The sequence below is a fragment of the Homo sapiens genome, chromosome 2 (genome assembly GCF_000001405.40).
Source record: "Homo sapiens chromosome 2, GRCh38.p14 Primary Assembly".
Taxonomy (NCBI): Eukaryota; Metazoa; Chordata; class Mammalia; order Primates; family Hominidae; genus Homo; species Homo sapiens.
This window is the reverse complement of record NC_000002.12, coordinates 219,447,238-219,467,821: the sequence shown is the minus strand read 5'-3', so window position 1 is coordinate 219,467,821 and position 20,584 is coordinate 219,447,238. Positions and strand designations below refer to the sequence as shown.

At 56.9% G+C, this 20,584-nt stretch overlaps 1 protein-coding gene across 43 annotated transcripts in view, besides 10 other annotated features; it reads right to left on the bottom strand.

Annotated features, from left to right (window-relative positions):
* Window positions 1-20,584, bottom strand: part of SPEG (striated muscle enriched protein kinase) — a 58,787-nt gene that overhangs the window by 25,808 nt on the left and 12,395 nt on the right. For 13 of the 43 annotated variants that reach the window (XM_047442891.1, XM_011510479.3, XM_047442892.1 and 10 more), the window contains 7 exons: window positions 18,551-19,848; window positions 16,543-16,686; window positions 16,015-16,197; window positions 5,765-5,940; window positions 5,436-5,524; window positions 3,214-3,389; window positions 388-648 (listed from right to left, as the gene is read on the bottom strand). In XM_047442891.1, coding sequence (XP_047298847.1) covers window positions 388-648; window positions 3,214-3,389; window positions 5,436-5,524; window positions 5,765-5,940; window positions 16,015-16,197; window positions 16,543-16,686; window positions 18,551-19,848 — 2,327 coding nt within the window. Of the gene's footprint in view, window positions 1-387; window positions 649-959; window positions 1,766-3,213; window positions 3,390-5,435; window positions 5,525-5,764; window positions 5,941-6,292; window positions 6,401-6,521; window positions 6,729-6,825; window positions 7,091-16,014; window positions 16,198-16,542; window positions 16,727-18,550; window positions 19,849-20,584 lie in introns of those variants that run through there. The other 30 variants (NM_001438924.1, XM_047442902.1, NM_001438925.1 and 27 more) reach the window with 10 other exon arrangements.
* Window positions 560-1,102: an enhancer, noted in NCBI's record as "H3K4me1 hESC enhancer chr2:220331442-220331984 (GRCh37/hg19 assembly coordinates)". NCBI's record gives its function as "activates a minimal SCP1, AML or CMV promoter by ChIP-STARR-seq in primed H9 embryonic stem cells {active_cell/tissue: H9 hESC(primed)}" and the evidence as "EXISTENCE:reporter gene assay evidence [ECO:0000049][PMID:30033119]".
* Window positions 1,350-2,015: an enhancer, noted in NCBI's record as "H3K27ac-H3K4me1 hESC enhancer chr2:220330529-220331194 (GRCh37/hg19 assembly coordinates)". NCBI's record gives its function as "activates a minimal SCP1, AML or CMV promoter by ChIP-STARR-seq in primed H9 embryonic stem cells {active_cell/tissue: H9 hESC(primed)}" and the evidence as "EXISTENCE:reporter gene assay evidence [ECO:0000049][PMID:30033119]".
* Window positions 2,016-2,683: an enhancer, noted in NCBI's record as "H3K27ac-H3K4me1 hESC enhancer chr2:220329861-220330528 (GRCh37/hg19 assembly coordinates)". NCBI's record gives its function as "activates a minimal SCP1, AML or CMV promoter by ChIP-STARR-seq in primed H9 embryonic stem cells {active_cell/tissue: H9 hESC(primed)}" and the evidence as "EXISTENCE:reporter gene assay evidence [ECO:0000049][PMID:30033119]".
* Window positions 6,960-7,140: a silencer, noted in NCBI's record as "fragment chr2:220325404-220325584 (GRCh37/hg19 assembly coordinates)". NCBI's record gives its function as "represses an EF-1alpha promoter that drives an FKBP-Casp9 reporter gene in an ReSE screen in K562 erythroleukemia cells {active_cell/tissue: K562}" and the evidence as "EXISTENCE:reporter gene assay evidence [ECO:0000049][PMID:32094911]".
* Window positions 14,219-15,023: an enhancer, noted in NCBI's record as "H3K4me1 hESC enhancer chr2:220317521-220318325 (GRCh37/hg19 assembly coordinates)". NCBI's record gives its function as "activates a minimal SCP1, AML or CMV promoter by ChIP-STARR-seq in primed H9 embryonic stem cells {active_cell/tissue: H9 hESC(primed)}" and the evidence as "EXISTENCE:reporter gene assay evidence [ECO:0000049][PMID:30033119]".
* Window positions 14,219-15,827: a biological region, named in NCBI's record as "P300/CBP strongly-dependent group 1 enhancer GRCh37_chr2:220317062-220318261".
* Window positions 14,283-15,482: an enhancer, noted in NCBI's record as "P300/CBP strongly-dependent group 1 enhancer chr2:220317062-220318261 (GRCh37/hg19 assembly coordinates)". NCBI's record gives its function as "activates an origin of replication core promoter dependent on BRD2, BRD4, P300/CBP, MED14 and CDK7 cofactors, with strong dependence on P300/CBP, by STARR-seq in HCT116 cells {active_cell/tissue: HCT116}" and the evidence as "EXISTENCE:reporter gene assay evidence [ECO:0000049][PMID:35650434]".
* Window positions 15,024-15,827: an enhancer, noted in NCBI's record as "H3K27ac-H3K4me1 hESC enhancer chr2:220316717-220317520 (GRCh37/hg19 assembly coordinates)". NCBI's record gives its function as "activates a minimal SCP1, AML or CMV promoter by ChIP-STARR-seq in naive and primed H9 embryonic stem cells {active_cell/tissue: H9 hESC(naive and primed)}" and the evidence as "EXISTENCE:reporter gene assay evidence [ECO:0000049][PMID:30033119]".
* Window positions 15,828-16,632: an enhancer, noted in NCBI's record as "H3K27ac-H3K4me1 hESC enhancer chr2:220315912-220316716 (GRCh37/hg19 assembly coordinates)". NCBI's record gives its function as "activates a minimal SCP1, AML or CMV promoter by ChIP-STARR-seq in naive H9 embryonic stem cells {active_cell/tissue: H9 hESC(naive)}" and the evidence as "EXISTENCE:reporter gene assay evidence [ECO:0000049][PMID:30033119]".
* Window positions 18,091-18,698: an enhancer, noted in NCBI's record as "H3K27ac-H3K4me1 hESC enhancer chr2:220313846-220314453 (GRCh37/hg19 assembly coordinates)". NCBI's record gives its function as "activates a minimal SCP1, AML or CMV promoter by ChIP-STARR-seq in primed H9 embryonic stem cells {active_cell/tissue: H9 hESC(primed)}" and the evidence as "EXISTENCE:reporter gene assay evidence [ECO:0000049][PMID:30033119]".

The window sequence follows — 20,584 nt, the reverse complement described above, 5'->3', positions numbered from 1 at the left end:
CTCATTAATCCTGCCAATCCCTCTACAGAGGAGGAATGATCACCATCCCTGTTCTACAGATGAACAGGCTAAAGCTCAGAGAGATGAAGTGACTTGTTCAAAGTTATATGGCTGGTGACTTGCAGGGCAGGCGTGGGAACCCACGTTCACCTCAGCAGATGCACTCCCTCCTAGGAACAGTTAACCCTGTTGCGGCCTTTCCTTTGTGCTATGCACTATTCTAAGTGCTTATTTTATTGAGGCCAAGGCAATGTACTAGCTCCCACCCTCCCCCGCTTCCCCTCGGGGTTGGAGCTCTGTTTCCCAGGCATCTTACTGTACACCCCCAGTCCCCTCCCTCCAGCTCTTGGGCACCCACGGCAGCCCAATGCCTGAGTGGGGAGTTACCTTTGGCCGTGCTGAGCTTGCAGGTGTAGACGCCACTGTCGTCCTCATGTACAGATGTAAGTAGCAGCTTGCATTTGCGGCCATCGAAATGCATCTTGCATTTGAGCAGTGCAGGCTGCAGCAGGCGGCCACGGCACAGCCAATCCACCTCCACGTCAGTGGGCCCCGCCACCAGGCACTCAAACAGCGCCATCTCCCCGGCCCCCACGTCCACGTCCTGCAGGGGGGCCAGCACGGCCAGGGACCGGCTTTCAGGGTGTGCTGAGGGGAAAGCAGCCACGGGGGCCACGCACAGAGCAGAGACACACAGGGTGAGGGAGACACACATACGCACGCACAGAGAGACAGACAGACACAGAGAGAGAGATGCATTTTGTTCTCTGGAGATGGGGAAAGCCCACCCACCTGGCCAGGACAGCAAGGCATGCCCAGACCTGGCTTTGAGATGGCAATCCAAGCTGGGCCAGGGAGGGTGATTCATGGAGGCAAGAGGGAACTGAGGGAGGGGAAACTGAGAGGGCCACGTGGTGGCAGAGACATCGGCGGGGGAAAAAAAAACACAACACACCAGATAGGTACAAACTGGACTTTATTTGAGTTAAGAAATAGGTGTTTCCAAATTTCTCCACGCTCACTACAGTGGCCCCCTGCCCCTGCTCCTGCACCAAACTTGGTTAACTCCCTCATTCCCAGACAGAGCACCCCAGCCCTGACAGAGAAGGAGGGGGCCCCAAATGGGCCCTAAACCTGCCAGGGCCAGGGCTCAGCCAGGCTGTTCATCAGCACAGAGCCTGGGGCCTCTGGCTTTTGGTCTTTTGTGAAATAGAAAGTGTTGTGCCATTCGAAACCCATTTCTAGAATGGTCAGTGTCCTAACCCTTCCTGGTAAGGCCTTTGTCAACAGCCCCTGCTCCTTGGGCCCCTCCATGCCATGCCGTAATCTCTCCCACTCTGTCTCACCCCACCTCAGCTCCGAGGCATCCTTCCCTGACTGTCACAGACACACAGACAGACAAACAGATAGACAGGCCTGTAGCAGCAGTAGCACATGCACTCGCCCGGTGCTCCCCTTCAGGGAGAGACTCGGGGGGTTGATACCCCTCGCAGCCGCCCCTTCCCAGCACTCAGTCCATCTGTGGGCCTCCTGGCCTGCACAGCCATGTGTCCACTTGGGGAGGGAGGGTCCACAGGGGCCCATGGGCTATCCCCCTGGGGGCTGCATGGGGTGGGGAGGGGAGGCTGGGACGGGTCCGGGCCGGCAGGCCTGGGTCTGTGGGCAGGAGGCAGTGAAACACAGCGAGGTCCGAGAGGTGCCTGAGACAGGGGCGCGGCTCGGAGGGTAGCGGGGGGAGCACAGGTGGCCCCCTGAGCTCACTCGCCTGTGTACAGACAAAAACCTCAGTCAGCAAGCGGCAGGTTAGTGCAGCATACGCGCACGCACGCGCACACACACACATGCACACACACGCATGCACACGCACACATGCACGCACACGTGCACGCACACGCGCGCACACACACACGCATGCACACACCCATACGCACACATGCACACGCACGCACACACGCACACACATGCACACACATGCATGCACATACACGCACGCATGCGCACGCACACGCACACATGCACGCACAGGCACGCAGACCTGGCTAGGGCCCTTCTGCATAGAGGGCTGCCTCTCACACCGTCAGGGCAGCACTGCCACTCTTGGCTCCCCCAAGGACAGCTCTGGGCTGCGAGGGCCGGCAGCTAGCCAGAGACTGGTTCCTCGGGGTTCCTGGGCAGGCAGAGACCCCGGGCAACCAGGCATTCATGGGATCAGGAGCACCCCAAAGCCTGGGGGTGTCGGAAGGAATCCCCAAGAGAAAGAAGCACCAAGACATGGGTTAATACAGAGAAGCGAGGCAGAGCCAGGCCCTGGAGAGAAAGCAGGCCGGGGAGGAGGGCTGAAGAATCTGGAGACCAAGGAAGTGGCAACTACAGGAACGGCAGGCACAGAGGAGGGGAACTGAGGCAGGGGGGCCAGCAGAGGGACCATGACTGTCAGGGTCTGAGCTCTGAGCCTTGGGGAAGGTCAGGGGCTGGGGGCTGAGTGAGAAGCGAGGAGAGGAAGCGAGGAGCCATTGAGGCGAAGGGTGAGGTGGAAGGCAAGATAAACGGTTGTGGCCTTTGGGGAGGAAAACCCATGGCCCTCGAGGGCCCCCTAGCCAGGGCCTGGCATTTCTGCTGCCTGAGAGGGCCCCTGCACATATGCCCCAGGCTCTGGGGGCCCAGGCCTCTTCACACGTCACAGCTGTGCTCACCCTGGCACCCTAGGGTCCCTGTGATGCTCCAAGCCTAAGCCACCCCAAGGGCCCCTCCGAACGGGTCCAGCCACCAGACTCTCCCCACCGCTACCTCACAGTAGCTTCTGCACAGCAATGGGATGGGAGGGTGGGCAAAGGGGCGAGAGGAGAGGGGGAGGGGGATGAGGGAGGGTCCTGGGCAGAGCAGGGTGACAAAGGCTCAGAAGAGTGTAGAGAGAGCTTGGCCAGTGGCAGGTGCAGGGTCTCTGGCTGCCGCCAGGGCTCCGTGATGGAGCAACAGGGAAGGTGGTGTTGTGTAGTAAGCTGAGCACGGAACAATGTGCTGTGCAGCTTTGGGCAGGTCACTTCCTGTCTCTGGGCTTTGGTTCACTCAACAATAATATAAGCAGCTGGACTAGGGGCCCCTTAAGGCCCTTTCAGTGGTGGCATCCTCTAACTGAGGCTGTGTGAGAGCAGACAGTGGGGGAAGGAAGGGGCCAGGGCCAGGTGGGCATTCATGGAGAAATCAGGTACTCACCTCGGACCTCCAAGCGGGCCTCGCACTGCCGAGCACCATACTCATTGACCGCTTTGCAAGTGTAGAAACCAGCATCGCCACGCTCTGCAGCCAGGATCCGCAGCCGGCACAGCCCACCCTCAGCCTCCTCCGCAAAGCGCCGCTGGTCTGGGCGCACGGGCTGGCGGTTTCTCAGCCTGTCAGAGGGGCAAGAACTCAGTCCCAGGGCCCAGGGGCCTGATGTGCGTGCACAGGAACTGGGGCTGCAGCACTGTGCAGGCCTCTCCTTCCCTGTGCAGTTTGCCCAGTCCCCAGATCTGTCCCACTGACCGTGGGCATCCCTGGTTTCCAGGGCTAGGTTTTTACCCCCACTCTGCCATCCCACCCACCTCTAGGAGCTTCCAGGTCACTTCTAACTGCCTGCAGCTCTCCCTTCTCGGAACCCTGCTGCATTCAGAGTGGAGCCGTGCTATTTAGCTCTTTTTTCTTGTCTTTTTTTTTTTTTTTTAAACAGGGTTTCCCTCTGTCACCCAGGCTGGAGTGCAGTGGCACAATCACAGCTCACTGCAGCTTCTACCTCCCCAGGCTCAAGCGATCTCCCCATCTCAGCCTCCTGAGTAGCTGGGACTACAGGCACACGCCACCATGCCCAGCTAATTTTTGTATTTTTTGTAGATACAGGGTTTCACCATGTTGTCCACGCTGGTCTTGAACTTCTGGGCTCAAATGATCCTCCTCTCTTGGCTTCCCAAAGTGCTGGGATTACAGACATTGAGCCCTCATGCCTGACCCTATTTAGCTCTTAATAATTCTTAAACTTCCCCATGTCTTATTTTTATTTATTTATAATGGACAGATAGCTTTCCCACTTCCCAAAAGGGATATGAAAAAACTTACAATGTTAAAAAAAAAAATCACAGTGGGGGCTGGGCACGGTGGTTCATGCCTGTAATCCCAGCACTTTGGGAGGCCGAGGTGGGTGGATCACCTGAGGTCAGGAGTTCGAGACCAGCCTGACCAGAAACCCTGCCTCTACAAAAAATACAAAATTAGCTGGGTGTGGTGGCACATGCCTGTAATCCCAGCTACTCAGGAGGCTGAGGCAGGAGAATCCCTTGAACCCAGGAGGCGGAGGTTGCAGTGAGCCCAGATCGCACCACTGCACTCCAGCCTGGGCGACAAAGAGTGAAACTCCAGCTAAAAAAAAAAAAAAAAAAAAAAAAAAAAAAAAAAAAAATCACAGTGGGGACCAGACAATCAATTAAAAATGAAAAACAGAATTCAAACCATAAAAAATTAGCAAGCTGAGTAATCCATCTTCCAGGCACCTGGGATGAGCGAGGCCCCTCTGCTTAGACCCACATTTAACTCGGGGCTGCTGGCAGCTCAGAAACAAATTGTTGCATGTCTTTTTTTTTTCAGCAATAGGGTCTTGCTATATTGTCCAGGCTGGAGTGCAGTGGTATGATCATAGCTCACTGCAACCTCAAACTCCTGGGCTCCAGTGATCCTCCTCCTCACCCTCATAAGTAGCTGGGTCTACAGGCATGTACTACCACGTCCAGCTAATTTAAAAAAAGTTTTTGTAGAGACAGAGTCTCACTATGTTGCCCAAGCTGGTCTTCAACTCCTTGGCTCAAGCAATCCTCCTTCCTTGGCCTCTGAAATGTCTTGCTCCTTGCTAATTTTGGGAAGGGGGTATTTTTATTTTTGAGACAGGGTCTCACTCTGTCACCCAGGCTGGAGTGCAATGGTGTGATCTCAGCTCACTACAGCTTCCACCTCCCAGGGTCAAGTAATCTTCTTGCCTCAGCCTCCCAAGTAGCTGGGATTACAAGCATGCACCACCACATCTGGCTAATTTTTTTGTATTTTTAGTAGAGACAGGGCTTCGCCATGCTGGCCAGGCTGGTCTCAAACTCCTGGCCTCAAGTGATCCATTCGCCTCACCTCTCAAAATGCTGGGATTACAGGCGTGAGCCACCGCACCCAGTCATTTATCCCAAATGGACAGACATGAGACCCAAACCCCTCCCCAGAAGGGGAAGCCCTAAATAAGCCTGGAACATGGGGCAAGGGACAGGGTGCCGGGGGGAGTACACTGCTGTCCCTGAGATGAGGCCCCTGAGGCAGATCATGGGGAAGCCCACCAAGATTCCATTTCCTTCCACCCAAAGCCAGACCTCCCAGAGCCAGGCCTGGCATAGAGTCGCTGGTGGGTGGTGGAAAGTGCGGCTACTCACCAGGAGACCACAGGCTTGGGCTCCCCCTGCACGCGGATGCTCATGATGACATCTTGGCCTTCTCTTACTGACTGGTCCATAAGTGAGACCTGAAGGGGGTACCCCAAAGTGTCAGGGGAAGACAGGGCAGAGCCTTGGGTCCTGGGGGCTGTGGAATCTGAGACGGAGGACTCTTCCACAGCCAGGCTGAGACTGGCTCTGGGTAAGAGGGTTTGAATGGGAGCAAAGTTCCAGGTCTTGATGTTGCCTAGGCATGGCCCCAAGAACAAGGGGGCACCCAAAGGAACGGGGGCACACAGGAGGCTAGGCCCCAGCCTCAGGGGTCTGACCTTGAAGGTGGGGGGTGCCTTGGAGCCAGTGTCAGAAGAACGGCGGTTCTGGCTGGGACTGGGCTTCATGGTGGGGGTTCGCGGCCAGGTCTCCCCAGGCTCTGGGAACTCCTCTGGGGGGCTCAGGTATTCCTCGTCGGAGGTGATGGGGCTGCTGAAAGGGGATGTAGACCCACCTGGAGAGAGACAGAGATAGCTACCAGGGAGGAAGGCGAGCAGAGAGCCTGGGAGAGCTGGCTGGAATGTCGCCCAGAGCCCAGGAGTTGCGGCAGCTCCCCGCAGGCCGGCCCTGCCCTGACTTCACCCCCAGGCTCCTGCGACCTCGCCCAGCTTCTTCCCCTCCCTGAGCCCCTGGAACCTCCTCTGCCACTGGCTCTGCCAACACCGACCCTGCTGATCCTCCCAGGAGGGGACACCATAGGGAAAGGCCTGGGGCAAAGGGTTCGGGCAGCAGAGGGGCCACTCCTGGGCCTGGTGGGAGAATTCCACTGGAGCAGGGCACCCACATTCCTGACATGGACTAGAGACCTAAACTACCAACTGCAGGCTCCAAAAGCAGGGGAAGCAGGTCTATGGAACCCTGGAGCAGCATGGCTAGGACGCCCATTTCTTGGGTGAGCTGGGCCTGGTGCAGAGGAACACACACCGCAGACAAGTCACATCCCGACCTCGGTCCAGGGCCAATGAGGCGGCACTATCTAGCCTGCCCCTCCCCCTTTCCCTTCTCAGCTTCCTGCCGTGCAAACCCCAGGGGCACCTGTTGGCCACAGCCCTACAGCTTGCACCCCCAAACGCTCGAGGGATAGGAAAGCAGAGCTGGAGTCATCCACCAAAAAGGGCAGCTCAGCCTGGGGGAAGAGGAGGGGGGCACCAGAGTCAGCCTTGGGGGAGGGGTGTCCCCAGGGCCCTGACGCCCTCCCCTGCAACTGGCCAGGGTCCCAGTCTCGCTGAGCTGGCTCCTATCCGACTGCCAAATACAGACATGAAACTGCCACAGCCCCCTAGGTTCTCCCCAGGGTCCCCCCACCCCAAGCCCCCAGCAGGGCTGTACCCCAACTCACCCCGAGGCTCTGCACACAGACCCCAGCCTGTGCCTGTCCTGAAGGCTCTGCCCTGGCACCAGGCCCTCCTGCTGCCTGCCCACTGCCCACCCCAGCGTGGCTCCCCAGGGAGCAGGAGCCCAGCCTGTCCAGCCTGCCCAGCCCCACTCACTCGGCTGACCCAGCTGAGGCCCTGCACGGAGAAGGCCCTGGGGGAGGGGAAGGCGCCTGAGGAGGGGAAGGAGGAGGTTGGATGGCAGGCCGGCAGGCAGCTGGCTAGGAAGGTGGTGCCTGCCGAGACCACAGGCAGCCTGGGCCCTGGTGTGGAGGGGGAGGAGAGGGGAGAGGGGAGGGAGGGCGGAGCGCGGCCGTCTGGATTTAGCCACTCTGCTCACTCCCAAGCCGCGGGATCTGCCTTTCTTCTCCTTACAGCTTCAGACCCTGACAAGAGCAAAGCCCGCTCTGCGGTGCCTTGACTCAAGGTGTGGGGCCTCCGTCCCCGAGCAAGACAGGGGAGGGGTGGCACTGCGCTGTGCCAATAGGGACACTTGCCCTGACCCATTTGTTCTGACACGTCCACCAAAGAAGGTGCCCGTGGGAAATGTTCCCTGTGTTGCCCCTTGCTCTGACGGAACCACCAAGATCCCTGACCGGGGAATGCGCTAACGAGCCTCAAATACTACAGAGCCAGGGCATACCTGTTTTCTTTGGCCCCGAAAATCGGAGAACTGTCAAGATCTTTGCCCTCCTTCACAGAGGTGGGGGAAGAATCTGAGGGGGCCCAGAATCCCACCTCTGCCCCCTCATCCCTGCCATGGAAGGTCTGGCCAGCAGCCACCACAGGGCCTAAGCCCACATCCAGCCTTCCTACCCAAACCGCCAGGGCACCTGTTGGCAACTTGCCCGCCACCCACCTTAGCCCCGCTAAAGAGGACAGCGGGGGCTGCCTCCCCCAAATGGCCCCTTATCATGAGAACCCATTTGTATCTGGGATGGGGAAAGGGTTTGGACACAGAACCTGAGAGAAGGGGGCTGTTGAGCAGGGGTCACATGTCCTTCTCCCTCTTCCTATCACCTCACCCCGCAACCCGGGGCCACATTCCCAAGCCATGACCTGTGTTTCCCAGCATGGCCAGTAAGGAAGGAGGGCTGGGGGCCGGGCAGAGGAGGGGCCCACGGTTCAGGCTGGCTGTCTTGAGGTAGGGTTGGGGAGGGAAGTCAGAATGGCATTTGGTGCTTAAGGCATTTGATGCTGAGATCACAGGCATGGCTCCGCAGGTGGGCGGTCCTACCCCTCTATGGAGCCTGGAGTCCTGCCCCAGGGTCACCTCCAGGCTGGACAGTACTGAGGAGGCTCACGGGCCCAGGGACTGGGAACGGAAGCAGAGCTGAAGGCCAGATGGTCAAGGTTTGCAGGGAGCCTCAGAGACCCCTGGTGGTGCCCAGGGGAACAGCATGCTGGAGGGCATCTAGCCATGAAGCAGACCCCCATCCTCAAGCCCCTTGGAGAGACAGACTGTCAGAGCAGCCCAGGCCTCTTCCAGACAAGGCAGTAGCCTCTGCCCCTCCATACCTCCAAAAGTGAGTGACCAAGGAAGCTGATCGAGGATTCCTGAGGCTCCATACCAGAATCCGGTGCCACCTAGTTTTTTCCCTGGCCACATAGCAAAAACCATCTTTGGAACCAGTCCCTGACATCCCAGCCCTGCTGCACCCACAAGCCCAACTCTCACTGTGGCAAACACAGTTACACCAGCCAGGAAGGAGGGGGCAGGTGCCCCCCTAAACCTAATAGGCACATACACTCAATGGCCCCGAACAACCCACCACGGAAGTACCGCCCCTTCACACTGGCTCCCAATCCCCCACGCTGACCCCATGCTCATGTCTGCCCTTTCAACATCACTCTCAGGTCAAACTCATTTGATGAAAATACTGGCGTTAGGAAGCACACAGGGAACTCCCTCTCCTCAGACCAGCACATCCACCGACCCCAACTGTTTCAGCGTCCCCTGATGTGTTCTCACAATAGACAGAGTTGCAGCCACCACTGCGAATTATCTAGTACATAAAAGGTGTCGCACACAGCCCTTTGCTTCAGGGCTTCTCAGAATGTTACTTGACCTACTCACATCAGGACCACCTCGGGCTTATTTAAAATATAGATTCCTCAACCTTACTCCAGCCTGCAGAATTAGATTTTCTGAAATGAGATGTCAGGAAACTGCATTTTAAAAAGCACCCCAGATGACTCTTAGGCACATGAAAGCTTAGGGACCACTGCTGATCTTTATGGGAGGAGGACAGCCCTAAGAGGTGGTATCACTAAGCCCCCTTCACTGGGCCATTCAACCTCAGAGCAGAGCTTTGAACCTAGGAGGTTTGGCTACACAGCCCATGTGCTTCCCCTGGCATGACCTGGTCTCCCATCTTGGGCACAATCTCTAACTCTATGGCAGTGGTTCTCAAGGTTTTCTGTGCATCGGAATCACCTGGAGGGCTCCTTAGACCATAGAGTGCTGGGCCCCACCCACGGAATTTCCGATTCAGTAGGTCGGGGCTGGGGCCAATAATCTGCATTTCTTAAGAGTGCAAAACGCTTATTGGGAAAAAAAAAAAAAGAAACTGCATTTCTAACACATACTCAGGTGATGCTGATGCTGCTGGTCTGGGGGCCTCACTCTGAGGACCACCGCTCCATGGTCTCTTTGCCAAGCTCCCCTCATAGGCAGAGCCTCATGACCCTTGTGGCTGGGTGTCATGCCTAGCCTCACCTCTGTGTGTCACCCACGTTGCTCAAGGGCTTGAAAAGTCATGGGGCTCTCTGCCTACTCACTGCCACCTCACATACAGCTCTGCAGTCCACACAGCCCCTAACTGTCCAGGAGGGCCCCCAGGCACAGCTGCCAGTGCTAAGGAGTGGCAAAGACATGGTCATGTCCTCAGGAGCCTTCTGGGTGGTGGGGAAGACAAACCAGATACACAAGTGACTACAAGAGCAAGCAGGAAGTATGAGGTAGCAAGAGAGCAGCAGGTAAGGGGCGTGGGAGTATAGAAGGCGGGAGATGACTTTTGGCCCAGGGAAAAAGAGAGAACTGAAGGAAGAGGCAGTATTGGAATTGCAGTTTGCAGGAAAAAGGGAAAAGTATTCCAGGCAGAGGAAAGTGCATGCGGAAAAGTTTGAAGCAAAAGCCATGTGTGCAGAGGACTATAGCTCAACTGTCTGTCTATAAACTGGGTAAAGAAGTAAGGAGTGGAGCATCCACTGTTCAAGCAGGTGCCTCCCACTGCCACCCGAGGGCCAGCCTCAGGCCTCTGGCTCCTTTTGCCCTATGGGTGCAGATGGTAGAGGCCACACAAAGGTGTGCAGCCTTTACTCTGTAGGCAAGGCGGACTCTTTACAATTCTTTTGTTTGTTTGTTTTTGCTTTTGTTTTGAGACAGTCTCAGTCTGTCATCCAGGCTGGAAAGCACTGGTGTAATCTCAGCTCACTGCAACCTCCACCTCCGAAGTTCAAGCGATTCTCCTGGCTCGGCCTCCCTCAGTAGCTGGGATTACAGGCTCCCACAACCACACCTGGCTAATTTTTGTATTCTTAGTAGAGACGGGGTTTCATTATGTTGGCCAGGCTGGTCTCAAACTCCTGGTCTCAAGTGTTCCACCTGCCTTGGCCTCCCAAAGTGCTAGGATTACAGGTGTGAGCCACGGCACCCAGTCCATAAACGGTTTTTCCTCCTTATGATTCTTGAGGAAGGGAGTGATAGGCTGCAGGTTAGCAAGCATTTGCCTGTGGCTTGGCCCTTCCCAGCTGGCCCTCCACATGTGCTGTTTCAGTAGGTCCTCCACAGGCAGTTCTTGAAATGTCTGCTGTGGTAACCCCACTGCGGAAAAGTCAGGGAAAGGGAGGACACGGCTGGCCAGGAGGTGGGCATTTCCACAGGGTGCTGACATGAATGTTTCCCCTTGGACTGAGAATGTTTCAGGCTTAGTTCAAAATGTACAAGCCAACAGATCATTTCACATGGTCAGCCTGACCTAGCCCCAGAAGTGATTAATTTTTCTTTTTTCTTTTCTTTTTTTTCTTTTTCTTTTCTTTTTTTTTTTTTTTTGAGACAGAGTCTCGCACTGTCGCCCAGGCCGGAGTGCAATGTTATGATCTCAGCTCACTGAGACCTCTGCCTCCCAGATTCAAGTGATTCTCCTGTCTCAGCCTCCCAAGTAGCTGGAATTAGAGACGTCCATCACCACACCCGGCTAATTTTTTGTATTTTTGGTAGAGACAGGGTTTCACTATGTTGGTCAGGCTGGTCTCATACTCCTGACCTCATGATCCACCCTGCTTGGCCTCCCAAAGTGCTGGGATTACAGGCGTGAGCCACCGCACCCGGTCATGATGAATTTCTTATATATGACTATGTTAGTTTGCTCCAGGTGAGGAAAAGTGGCTGCAACAACAGTAAATGAGCTCTCAATTCTTCTGACAGGCTGTGAGTGATGGCCCCCGTTCTAGGTACCAGCTTCGGGGAGGCCACCTGTCAGGCAGGCCTGTTTCTGGCAGACAGGAGGGTAGAGGAAGGGCTGAGTTTGGGCAAGGGGACCATGCCACACTGCTTTGTCTGGTGTTGTCCAAACCCCCATCGAGGACTGACGATGGGGGCCATGTGGCATCCTCCCCAACGGCAGCCACTGCCATCACAAGGGAGAATCTGCAACTATGCCACAGGTGGCCAGAGACCAGGGGCAAGAGAAGACAGGGACTGACATGGATGCTAAGGTTTTCTTCCTTGTTTTTGTTTTCATGGCCCCCAATAAACAACCTATTTTCTGCTGTGGTCATGTTGATTCTATGAGTGGGACCAGAATGGGCTTCGATGAGCTATATATCCTCTGTCCCAAGTGTCCAACTTGCCCTCCTCACAGACCCTCAGGAATCTCACCAAGTAGGTGGCCTGGCTGGTGTGAAGATCCTCACTTTACAGCCAAGAAAACCATGACCAGCTAAGGTACAATGAAGAGGCCAAGGTCTTGGCTGGAAAATGCAAGAATCCTGGGCTCAAATATAGGAGACCTGTAGTTGAGGGAAGGACTGGAGGTGGGGAGGATGAGGCCCAGGCCCATGGGGCCTCCCATACTCCCACTTCCTCCTGCCCAGCACCCAGAGGGCCTCCTCTCGGGGCGCACGGTGGGGAAGCTGGGTGTGCTCACATCAGGCATGCAAGGAAACAGAAGGACCACAGCTGTGCTGGAGGTGGGGAGTCAATAGAGGAAGAAGAGAAAGCCCCCAGTCGGACCCACCCACAGAGGGCATCACCAGTGCCCTCCCAGTGAGCTCATGAGCTCAGTTCTACCTCAACCTCGAACTTCTTCAGAGCAACAGGAAAGGGGGGTGGGATAGTGTCATGGTTAGGAGTGTAGGCTTGAGAGACCGAGACAGGGTTTCAAATCATAGCTCCAGCCTCCAGCTGGCCCTAAGCTCCTAGAGCTGACCATCCCAAGAAGGCAGCCACTAGCCACCTGAGACTATTTAAAAGCAGTTATTAAAATGAAATTAAATTTAAAATGCAGTTCCTCAGTCACCGCAGCTGCATTTCAAGTGCTCACTAACCACATGTAGCTAGGGCTACCATACTGGACCACACACATATAGAGCATCTCCATCATCACAGAAATGTCTATTGATCAATGCTGCTCCAGACAAAACTGCTGGGATTACAGGTGTCAGCCACTGTGTCCAGAGAGCAATTGGCTAAAGTTTTCCAAGTCTCAGTTTCCTCATTCGTAACATAGGCATAATAATAGAACCTACCTCATAAGGCTGGATTAAACAAAATAATCCAATCAACACAGGGCCTGGTATATATGAAGCACTCAATAAGTGCTACCTGGTCATGTATTTTTTATTTATTTATTTATTTATTTATTTTGAGACAGAGTCTCACTTTATCACCCAGGCTGGAGTGCAGTGGCACGATCTCGGCTTACTGCAACCTCGGCCTCCTGGGTTCAAGTGATTCTCCTGTTTCAGCCCCCAGAGTAGCTGGGATTATAGGCATATGCCACCACGCCTGGCTAATTTTTGTATTTTTAGTAGAGACAAGGTTTTGCCATGTTGGCCAGGCTGGTCTCGAACTCCTGACCTCAGGTGATCCACCCACCTCAGCCTCCCAAAGTGCTGGGATTACAAGTGTGATTCACCACACTCAGCCCAGTCATGTTACTTTTATTTGCACCCCACACTAAGTTTATTTGCTTCATGGGCAGTTATTTCCATCACCCTAAATCAGTTGTTGCTGAAAACATCCCTAGGCAGATGGCAAGTGCTAAATAAAGGCTGCTGGCCTGGTGCTAGCTCTACCTCACTTTTCAATTCACATTTTTGTCTTCTCATCCATAAAATGGGAATGTCCCCACCTGCCACACGTCCCTCCAAGGGATATGTATGGCACAATGTTATCGCCAGGGAAGAGACGTGAAAGGGCTTGGGAAAGTCTATGACACTGTCCAAACAGAAGAAACTGTTTAGAGAGCTGTAGCACTTGGCACCTGGTTGGCACTCAATAAATACTTGTGTGATGGATGTGGGCAGCGGTGGGGAATGCTTTGGTTAAGCACACTTCTCACACTCCCAAGCCACCTGCCCCCATCCACACATCCGCTTTGGGAGAATGGCTGTGGTCTCAACAGAATGATTCAGTGGGGTGGAAAGGGTGGGAGGGACCAGGGGAGCTGGTGAGGACCAGCTCCTTTCCGCACAGACCCTGCCCCTAAACCATGGTCCATGGGGCCGCATTCTCTAGTTATCCATTCCCTGGTTACCATGGCTCCCAACCAGGAATTGAGATCTGTGGGTCCTCAAAAGCAGGCCCTGTTGGGGTGGACCCCAAGAGGGAACTGGGCAGCCAGCCCTGGTTACCATAGCACTGGGCAGGGGCAGCATGAAGAGCAAGAGGGGGAGGGGAAGGAGCAAGAGAGGGCGGTGGCTGCACGCAGGCCTCTTCCCACAATACACTGCCCACTGCCTCCCTCTACCTGCTCCCCACCAGGCCTACGGGCAAACTGCTGGACTCCCTCCCCTGGCCCCACCCCTCACTGCCTGCAGACTCCAGGCCTGGGACCACCCCTTGCCAGATGTCTGTGCCATCCCCAGGTTCCACCCACTTTTGCTGCTCTCAAGTCCACTGGCCCCCATCCAGCCACTCTGGACTAAACAGTGCCTTGTAGGGTAAGAAAGTCAGCTTGCTCCACAACAGCCAGAGCCAAGTCTGGACCCACATGCCTGCCCCCCAGGCCCTGGGGCCCCCGAGCCAGCCTGACTTAAGGAGGTGGCTGTCTTGCTGTAATGCCTGATGCAACAGACTAATGCAATGAAGGCTTTCTGGCTCCCCAGGGCAGAGGTGCCGAGATGCTGTGATGAGCTGAGGACACAGGGGCTGGGAAATACAGAGGGTCTGCAGGATATGGGCCTTCCAAGGGGAGAGGTGGAGTCCCTAAGGCACAGATGGGCTGAAGAAAGGGACAGAGAAGGATAAGGCACTTCCCAGATCCTTGTAGAAACCTGAGCTCTTCTACACAACAGCACCCGTTAATAACGCTAACAACTAACATTTGTCTACAGCTTTACAGTTCATAAAGCTCGTTCACACATTCGCTTTCATCCGTGAGGACGGTGTCATTATCTCCGGTTTACAAATGAGGAAACTGAAGCTCAGGAGGTTCTATGCCGCAAATACAGAACTCTCAGTCAAGGGCTGACAACTGCCTCGCCCCAAGCTGCCTTTCCAACCATAAAAGGCTCCCAAATGGCCCTGAGCCAGTATCGGGGCACCCCCATCCCACCCCTCGCCAAATTTCAGCCCAAGCCAGGTATTGACTGGGGTCCTGGAGCCAGGCCTGGGCCCCCTCAGGGGAGCTGGGAGCTGAGTCAGAAGCCAGATCCCGGAGGTGATGGAAGGACAGAAGCATGTGGTGGAGGGACGGGCATGATTCAGCGGGGTAGGAGGGGTAGGAGGAGGAGAAAGCCTGGAAAATGGGCCCCGGGAGGGATATGCAGCTAAGGAGGATGAAGACCTGCAGTGGCACAAGCCAGACCGTGCAACCAAAGGCTCTACTGGAGCACGAGACTATGATCAGATGCATCAAGAACTCCCTCACTGCTCAGGTGCTGAGGCCCTGGGATGGGCACACAGGCTCTGCCATCTTGTCTCCTGCAGCACTTCATGGAAGGAAGGGACAGAACACCATGTGCTGTTCCCCCTCTTGGCATGTCCCGCCTTCCCCGTGCCGGTCTAAAATCCCAGCCTCCTTCAGGGCACCAACGTCTCTCAGCGCAGGCATCCCAGAACACTAAGCAACGGCTCGGATGTCCTCGGCACTAGATCCATCTGCTCCGCACTGTCCCCCAACCTAGGTCCTCTGATCCAGGTCTGGTCACCCAGTGGGAACCCCCTTGAGGGTTGAGTGTGTTTTCCTTCTGTAATACCCCCTGACCATCCTCACCTCCCCGAACCCCAGGCCCGGGGTCAGTGCATTGTCAGGCCCCGCAAGCTGAATGAGCTGAACTGGCCATGTACACCGACACTGATCCAGCTGAACCAGAAAGAAACTGGGCTGAATCCCAAAGAAAGTAGTCTGACACCAAGTAAGGGCTTTCACAAAAATAGAAAACAAGGCAGCCTCGGCACTGCCAGCCCAAGAAGTGCTCTTGGCTGTACCCTTTTTACAACTTTGGGTTCAAGAAAAGTAGGGGGGAAGTGGCTTGTGGCACTCGAAAGCATCTCTTTTTACTGGGAGGGGGGACTGTCTTACAGGGGAAATGACTTCAGAAGGCTTGTGGTGGCTCTTAAACCCTGTGAGCGGAGAGATTCTTCTTCTCGGAAACTCAAGGACAATTTGCTTTCCCCACAGGACCCTGTTCAGGGAAATGCCATGGGAGGATGGCATTTAGAGGATGGCTAAACACAAATTTCACTGACTTCATGAATTGGCCAGCCTTCTGTGCGCCTTGGGGATTTGGCCCCTGCCCTGAGGCCAGGGCCATTTAAAACGCTTTCACCAAAGCTGCCGACACCCAGAAGGGACTGCATGGACTAAGTATGCTGGCGGGGTGCCCAAGCTCAAGGCTGAGAGTGGGAAGGGAGGTGGACTGGGGCCTGGGCCAGGGGAGAGTCACGGCTTGCCCCCACCCAGCCCCAGGGTTGATGGGCTCCCTACCGGGTCTCACGGTCAGTGAGGCGGCACAGGTGGCCTGGCCCAGCTCGTTGGTGGCGGTGGCCATATAGCTCCCGGCATCTGCTGCCCTGGCCTCCCTGAGCAGCAGGGTGTGCCGCTCACCCTCAGCCCGGAGGAGGAGGCGGCCCTCGCTGCGCAGCGCTGACCCATCCTTGTGCCAGGACACTGTGGGGAGGCACAGGGACCCGGCTCGCCACGGCCCACAGGCGCCCACTGAGAATCTCTACTCCTACCCCACACACCACACAGGAGACCAAACCTCTCCTCTCAGCACCCCAGGGAATCTGGAAGAGTCCGCCCTCATTTTGGGAAGCTCAGGTTGCCCTCCCTTCTCTCGGGGGTCCTGAGAAATGTCCCTGAACACACACCCAAGTCAGGGCAGCCCCCGTGGAGGGGATAATTCCCCTCTTTCCCACCCCTCCCTTGGAGGAGTCCGGGGGAACCTCCCCTTCCCTTCTCACACACCCCCTCCCAACCTCGACCGCACCTTGGCCCAGTGCTGGAGCTCACCTTGGGGCGGGGGGTTGGCAGTGATGATACACTTGAGCAGCACATCTGCCCCTGGTGCCACCACCACATTCTGCAGGGGGATCTCAAACACAGGGGCCTCTAGGGGCTCTTCTCCAGCGGACACGTAGGAGTCATCCGAAGACTCTGCCGGACACAGGAATAACGGGGTAAGGGGCCATGATCCCTGCAGGGATGACAGCGGGAGAGAGAGTCCTGGTGGCCTGCATCCTAGAAAGCCAAACCCAGACAGAGGGGCTTCTAGAAAGCAGGGACTTGGGGAGAAGAGGGTCTGCCTCCTGAATGTCCTTAGGGAAAAAAGGAAGTCAGAAGGAGCATTCTCGAAACAGGTCAGGGCAGCCTTGACTCCATGTTAGTGTGGCCGTTCCTCAACTTCATCCACAATTAGAGCGTTGGCTTCTGGAGAAAGACAGGACTGCACTGTGTATGTCTTTAACACGTCAGCCATCATGTATGGCGTACCAGGCCCCATGCAAGGCACCTGGAGGGGCACAAGCTTTCAAACAGACAAAGAACAAGCTAAAAGCAACCCAAGACTTAAGCAATAACAGCGGTGTCACAGAGCAACACGAGGTGAATTGTCAAATGTGTGAAGCCGTCAGATTCAAAAGAGTGAATGGTAGGCAGTCTGAGAGGCCTACGAAGATCAGATTTGATTTCATCCGTTCACCAAATAGTGACCCTGTACTCCCGGCATACTGAGTACTGTATGGGTACCAAGAACACTAGAGGAAGGACCAGTGGTCCCTGCTTACAGGAAGCTCATACATACAGAGAGATGACAAACTCCACTGTCATGGGTCTCTGGGCATTCTCCAACTCTGACATTCCATAAGCTAGATAAAGGACAATGTACATAGCCAAAAAAGCAGTGAAAATCCCAATTCTGCTGTTTCCTAGCTACAAAACCTTGGGCAAATTAGCCTCTCTGAGCCTCAGTTTTGTTATCTGTAAGATGGAGGGGAAAAGACCCTCTGAAACTGACATATAGGCTGAAATGAAATAACATCTGTAAGGGCCTAGTTAACACAATGCTGGCACATAGTTGTGTGTTTGCAATAATGGTGTCCAGGAGGATGATGGACAGGGGCCTAATTATCTCTAAAGATTCTAAGGTGGTAATACTTAAATGCAAAATAATTTTGATGAAGAAAAATACAGTATGGTAAGTGCAATGAAAGAGATCCTGGCAGGGTCTCCCAGGAGCAGCAGGTAGAGGCATCTATTCTGGAGGAGCAGTGGAAGTGGGTCAAGGACGCCTTCCTCTGCCTCTCTCCAGGAGTGGGCCTCGAGTTGATGTGCAGGATGAGGGGTGGGGTGCAGAGCCATTCTCCTGTTGGTGGTGTTGGTCATCATCCATGGGAAGGTTGGGAGACAACACACAGGCAGGCATTGTGTAGGGACCACAGTGAGCTCAGCCATGCGGGGTGTAAGCCTGAGGTGAGGAGGCTAGAAGGGCAGGCTGGGTGGCCACACATGGGTCAGGGGATGGTGCCCGGGTGGGAGAGGCAGAGTAAAGAGTTATCTGGCACAAAGCGTGTCTGTAACAGGGATTTGAAAATTATTTCAGACCATCTACCATCTCTCCCCAACAGAGGGATTGGGGGTATGGAGGGGGGTCCTTAGGTTCCCACCAGTGCATCCCCCCAGTAGTGGTTCTTGATCCAACAGCCTAGCAGGCCACTGGACCCAGGGGAGCTATGGCGGGCATCTGGGCACCAGTCTTAGCTCACATCTCAGCCTCACCTAGCCTCCATCACAACACTCACGCTCTGCCTCACCAGTAGCAGTCCTAGCACAAGGACTTTGACAATCCTTCACTCAAAGTCGAGCCTGTGTCTGTGCCTTCTTTGGCAAACCCACCCTTGCAGCTGGCTAGCAGCCCCAGGCGAAACCCCCGACCCCCCGGCTCCTGCTGAGCAGTCTTGCTCTCCACAAACGCCCCCCGACGGGGGTTCAGGCACCTTGTCAGCCCTCCCTGAGGCCTTACCGAGCTCAGGGGAGGTGGGCCGGGCCCGGCGACCTTTGCCCTGGCTGCGGGCCCCTCGGCGGTCCCAGGGCCCCCAGGGACCGTCCTCCTCCGGCCCTCTGCGAAGCCTCTTCTCTGCCTCAGGCCCCGCCCTGTTCTTCTCCAAGGTCTGGGGTACAGCAGCGCCCTCCAGGCCCGGCGTGGCCCAGGGCAGGAAGCGCACGGCCTGCGCCGGGGGCTCCCGCTTCCGACCGGGGGGTGCTTTCGTCCTGGCCTCTGGGGGATCGGCGGCGGGGGGCGGCACAGGGCTCCTGCACTCCTGGATGGCTCTGCTCCGGGTCAGCGGGAATTGGTCCCGACGCCTAACCTCCTGCTGCGGGCCTTCCCCCGGCTCTGTCCTGCCCGCCGGCCCGCGGCTCCTGGGCCTCCCAGGCTCGTCCCCCGGCTTCTCCGCGCTGCTCGGAGAGGGCGGCTGGGCGGCGGCGGGGCTCACGGCCCGCGATGTCTTGGGGGTGGAGGGCCGAGAGAAGAGCGGGGGCTCGCCGGGCTCTCGAGGGGATGGGGCACGCTGCAGCGTGGCGCGCAGGGACTCGTGCGAGCGCACCAGCTCCTCCCGCGACGTGGAGCGGCGGATGCGGCCCAGCTCCTGGGCGAAGCGCAGCTCGAGGTCTGAGGCCGGGCTGCGCTGACGCGTGCGCTCGTCCAGCGAGGCCGCTTTCTGCTGGAACAGGCGGCGCCGCTCGGCCACGCTGCCTGGCGCCCGCAGTTCTTCCTGCGAGGCCCCGGGGGTGCCCCACGGTGCGCCGCGCTCCGACTTGGGCTGCTCCAGAGAGCGGGCCTTGCGCAGGGGCACCCAGGGCCGCAGGGGCGCCGGCGGCGAGTCGCTGCGCTCCAGGCTGCGCCGTCGCTCCTCGAAGAACTGCAGCTTGTCCAGGATGCGGGAGCCGGCGCGCACCAGCCTAGGCGATCGGCCCAACGCCGACAGGCGGCCTGAGGCCTCGCTCAGTGGCGTCTGGGGTCGGGATTCCGCGGTGCCCGCCAGGGAGGGCCCGGACGACTTGGACTTCTTCCCTCGCTTCTCTTCGGTGGTGGTGTCCTCGGGCAGCACAGGCTCCTGAGTGCGACGGTGGGGCGACGTGGGGGTGGCCGCGGGCTGGGCCGGGGGTCCCGGCGGGGACCGCTTCCCGACCCGAGGGGACGGTGGGGGGAGCAGCGCGGATTTGGAAGGAGGCGGCTGGGCAGGGCGGCGTGGGGCTTCGCTGGCCAGTTGAGGCTGAAGGTCGGGCTCCTCCCTGCGCAACCCGCTCTGAGGGACGCTGCTGCAGAACCAAGATGGAGAAGGGTAGAGGATTCAGGGGGCCTCCTCTCCTAGACCCTTAGCTTGTGACAGGAATTGGGTGGTGGGCATGCTGGGCAGGCTTGGGGGTGACATGGGCCAGATCCTCCTGCCCCCCACCCCCACCCCCACGAGGAGCGCACAGCCAGAGCAGGTGCTGGGGAGAGGCCGGCGGCTCTGGAACCACAAGATTGGGCTAATGGCTGGGTCTTGGTACAGACTCAGCCCCAGGACTCGGGCCAGCCTCCTCCCCCCAGCCCTGGAAGCCGAGAAACAGCGGAAACAGAACTGAGCATGAGGGAGAGAAAAGAATGAGGCTTAGGACCCAAAGGATGAAGTGGGGAGGGAAGACAAGAGGGTGGGGTGGGGAGGGGCGTTCTCAGGAATGCAGCCACCCACTCATTCCAGCCCCCAGCTGGCCCCCACACCCCTGCCCATCATCAGCAGGGCACACCCCTTCCTAGTGGTCCCTGGAAGCCAAGCAACAGCCTCCTGGACCAGGCACAAGCCTTTTGGGGGGCAGTGCCCCATCCCTAGGATTCCCTAGCTGCTGTGTAGACCTGAGCCTATACCTGCCGCCACCCCGAGCACTGATGGGACACAGCAGGTGGCAACGGGATGCCCAGGCTCCTACTCTCCTTGCTCAGTCTGCCCCCCGATAGGCCTTTGACTTGTGCTTCCCCTGGCAAAGCTACCTTGAGTCCTTAGAAATCCCCCCT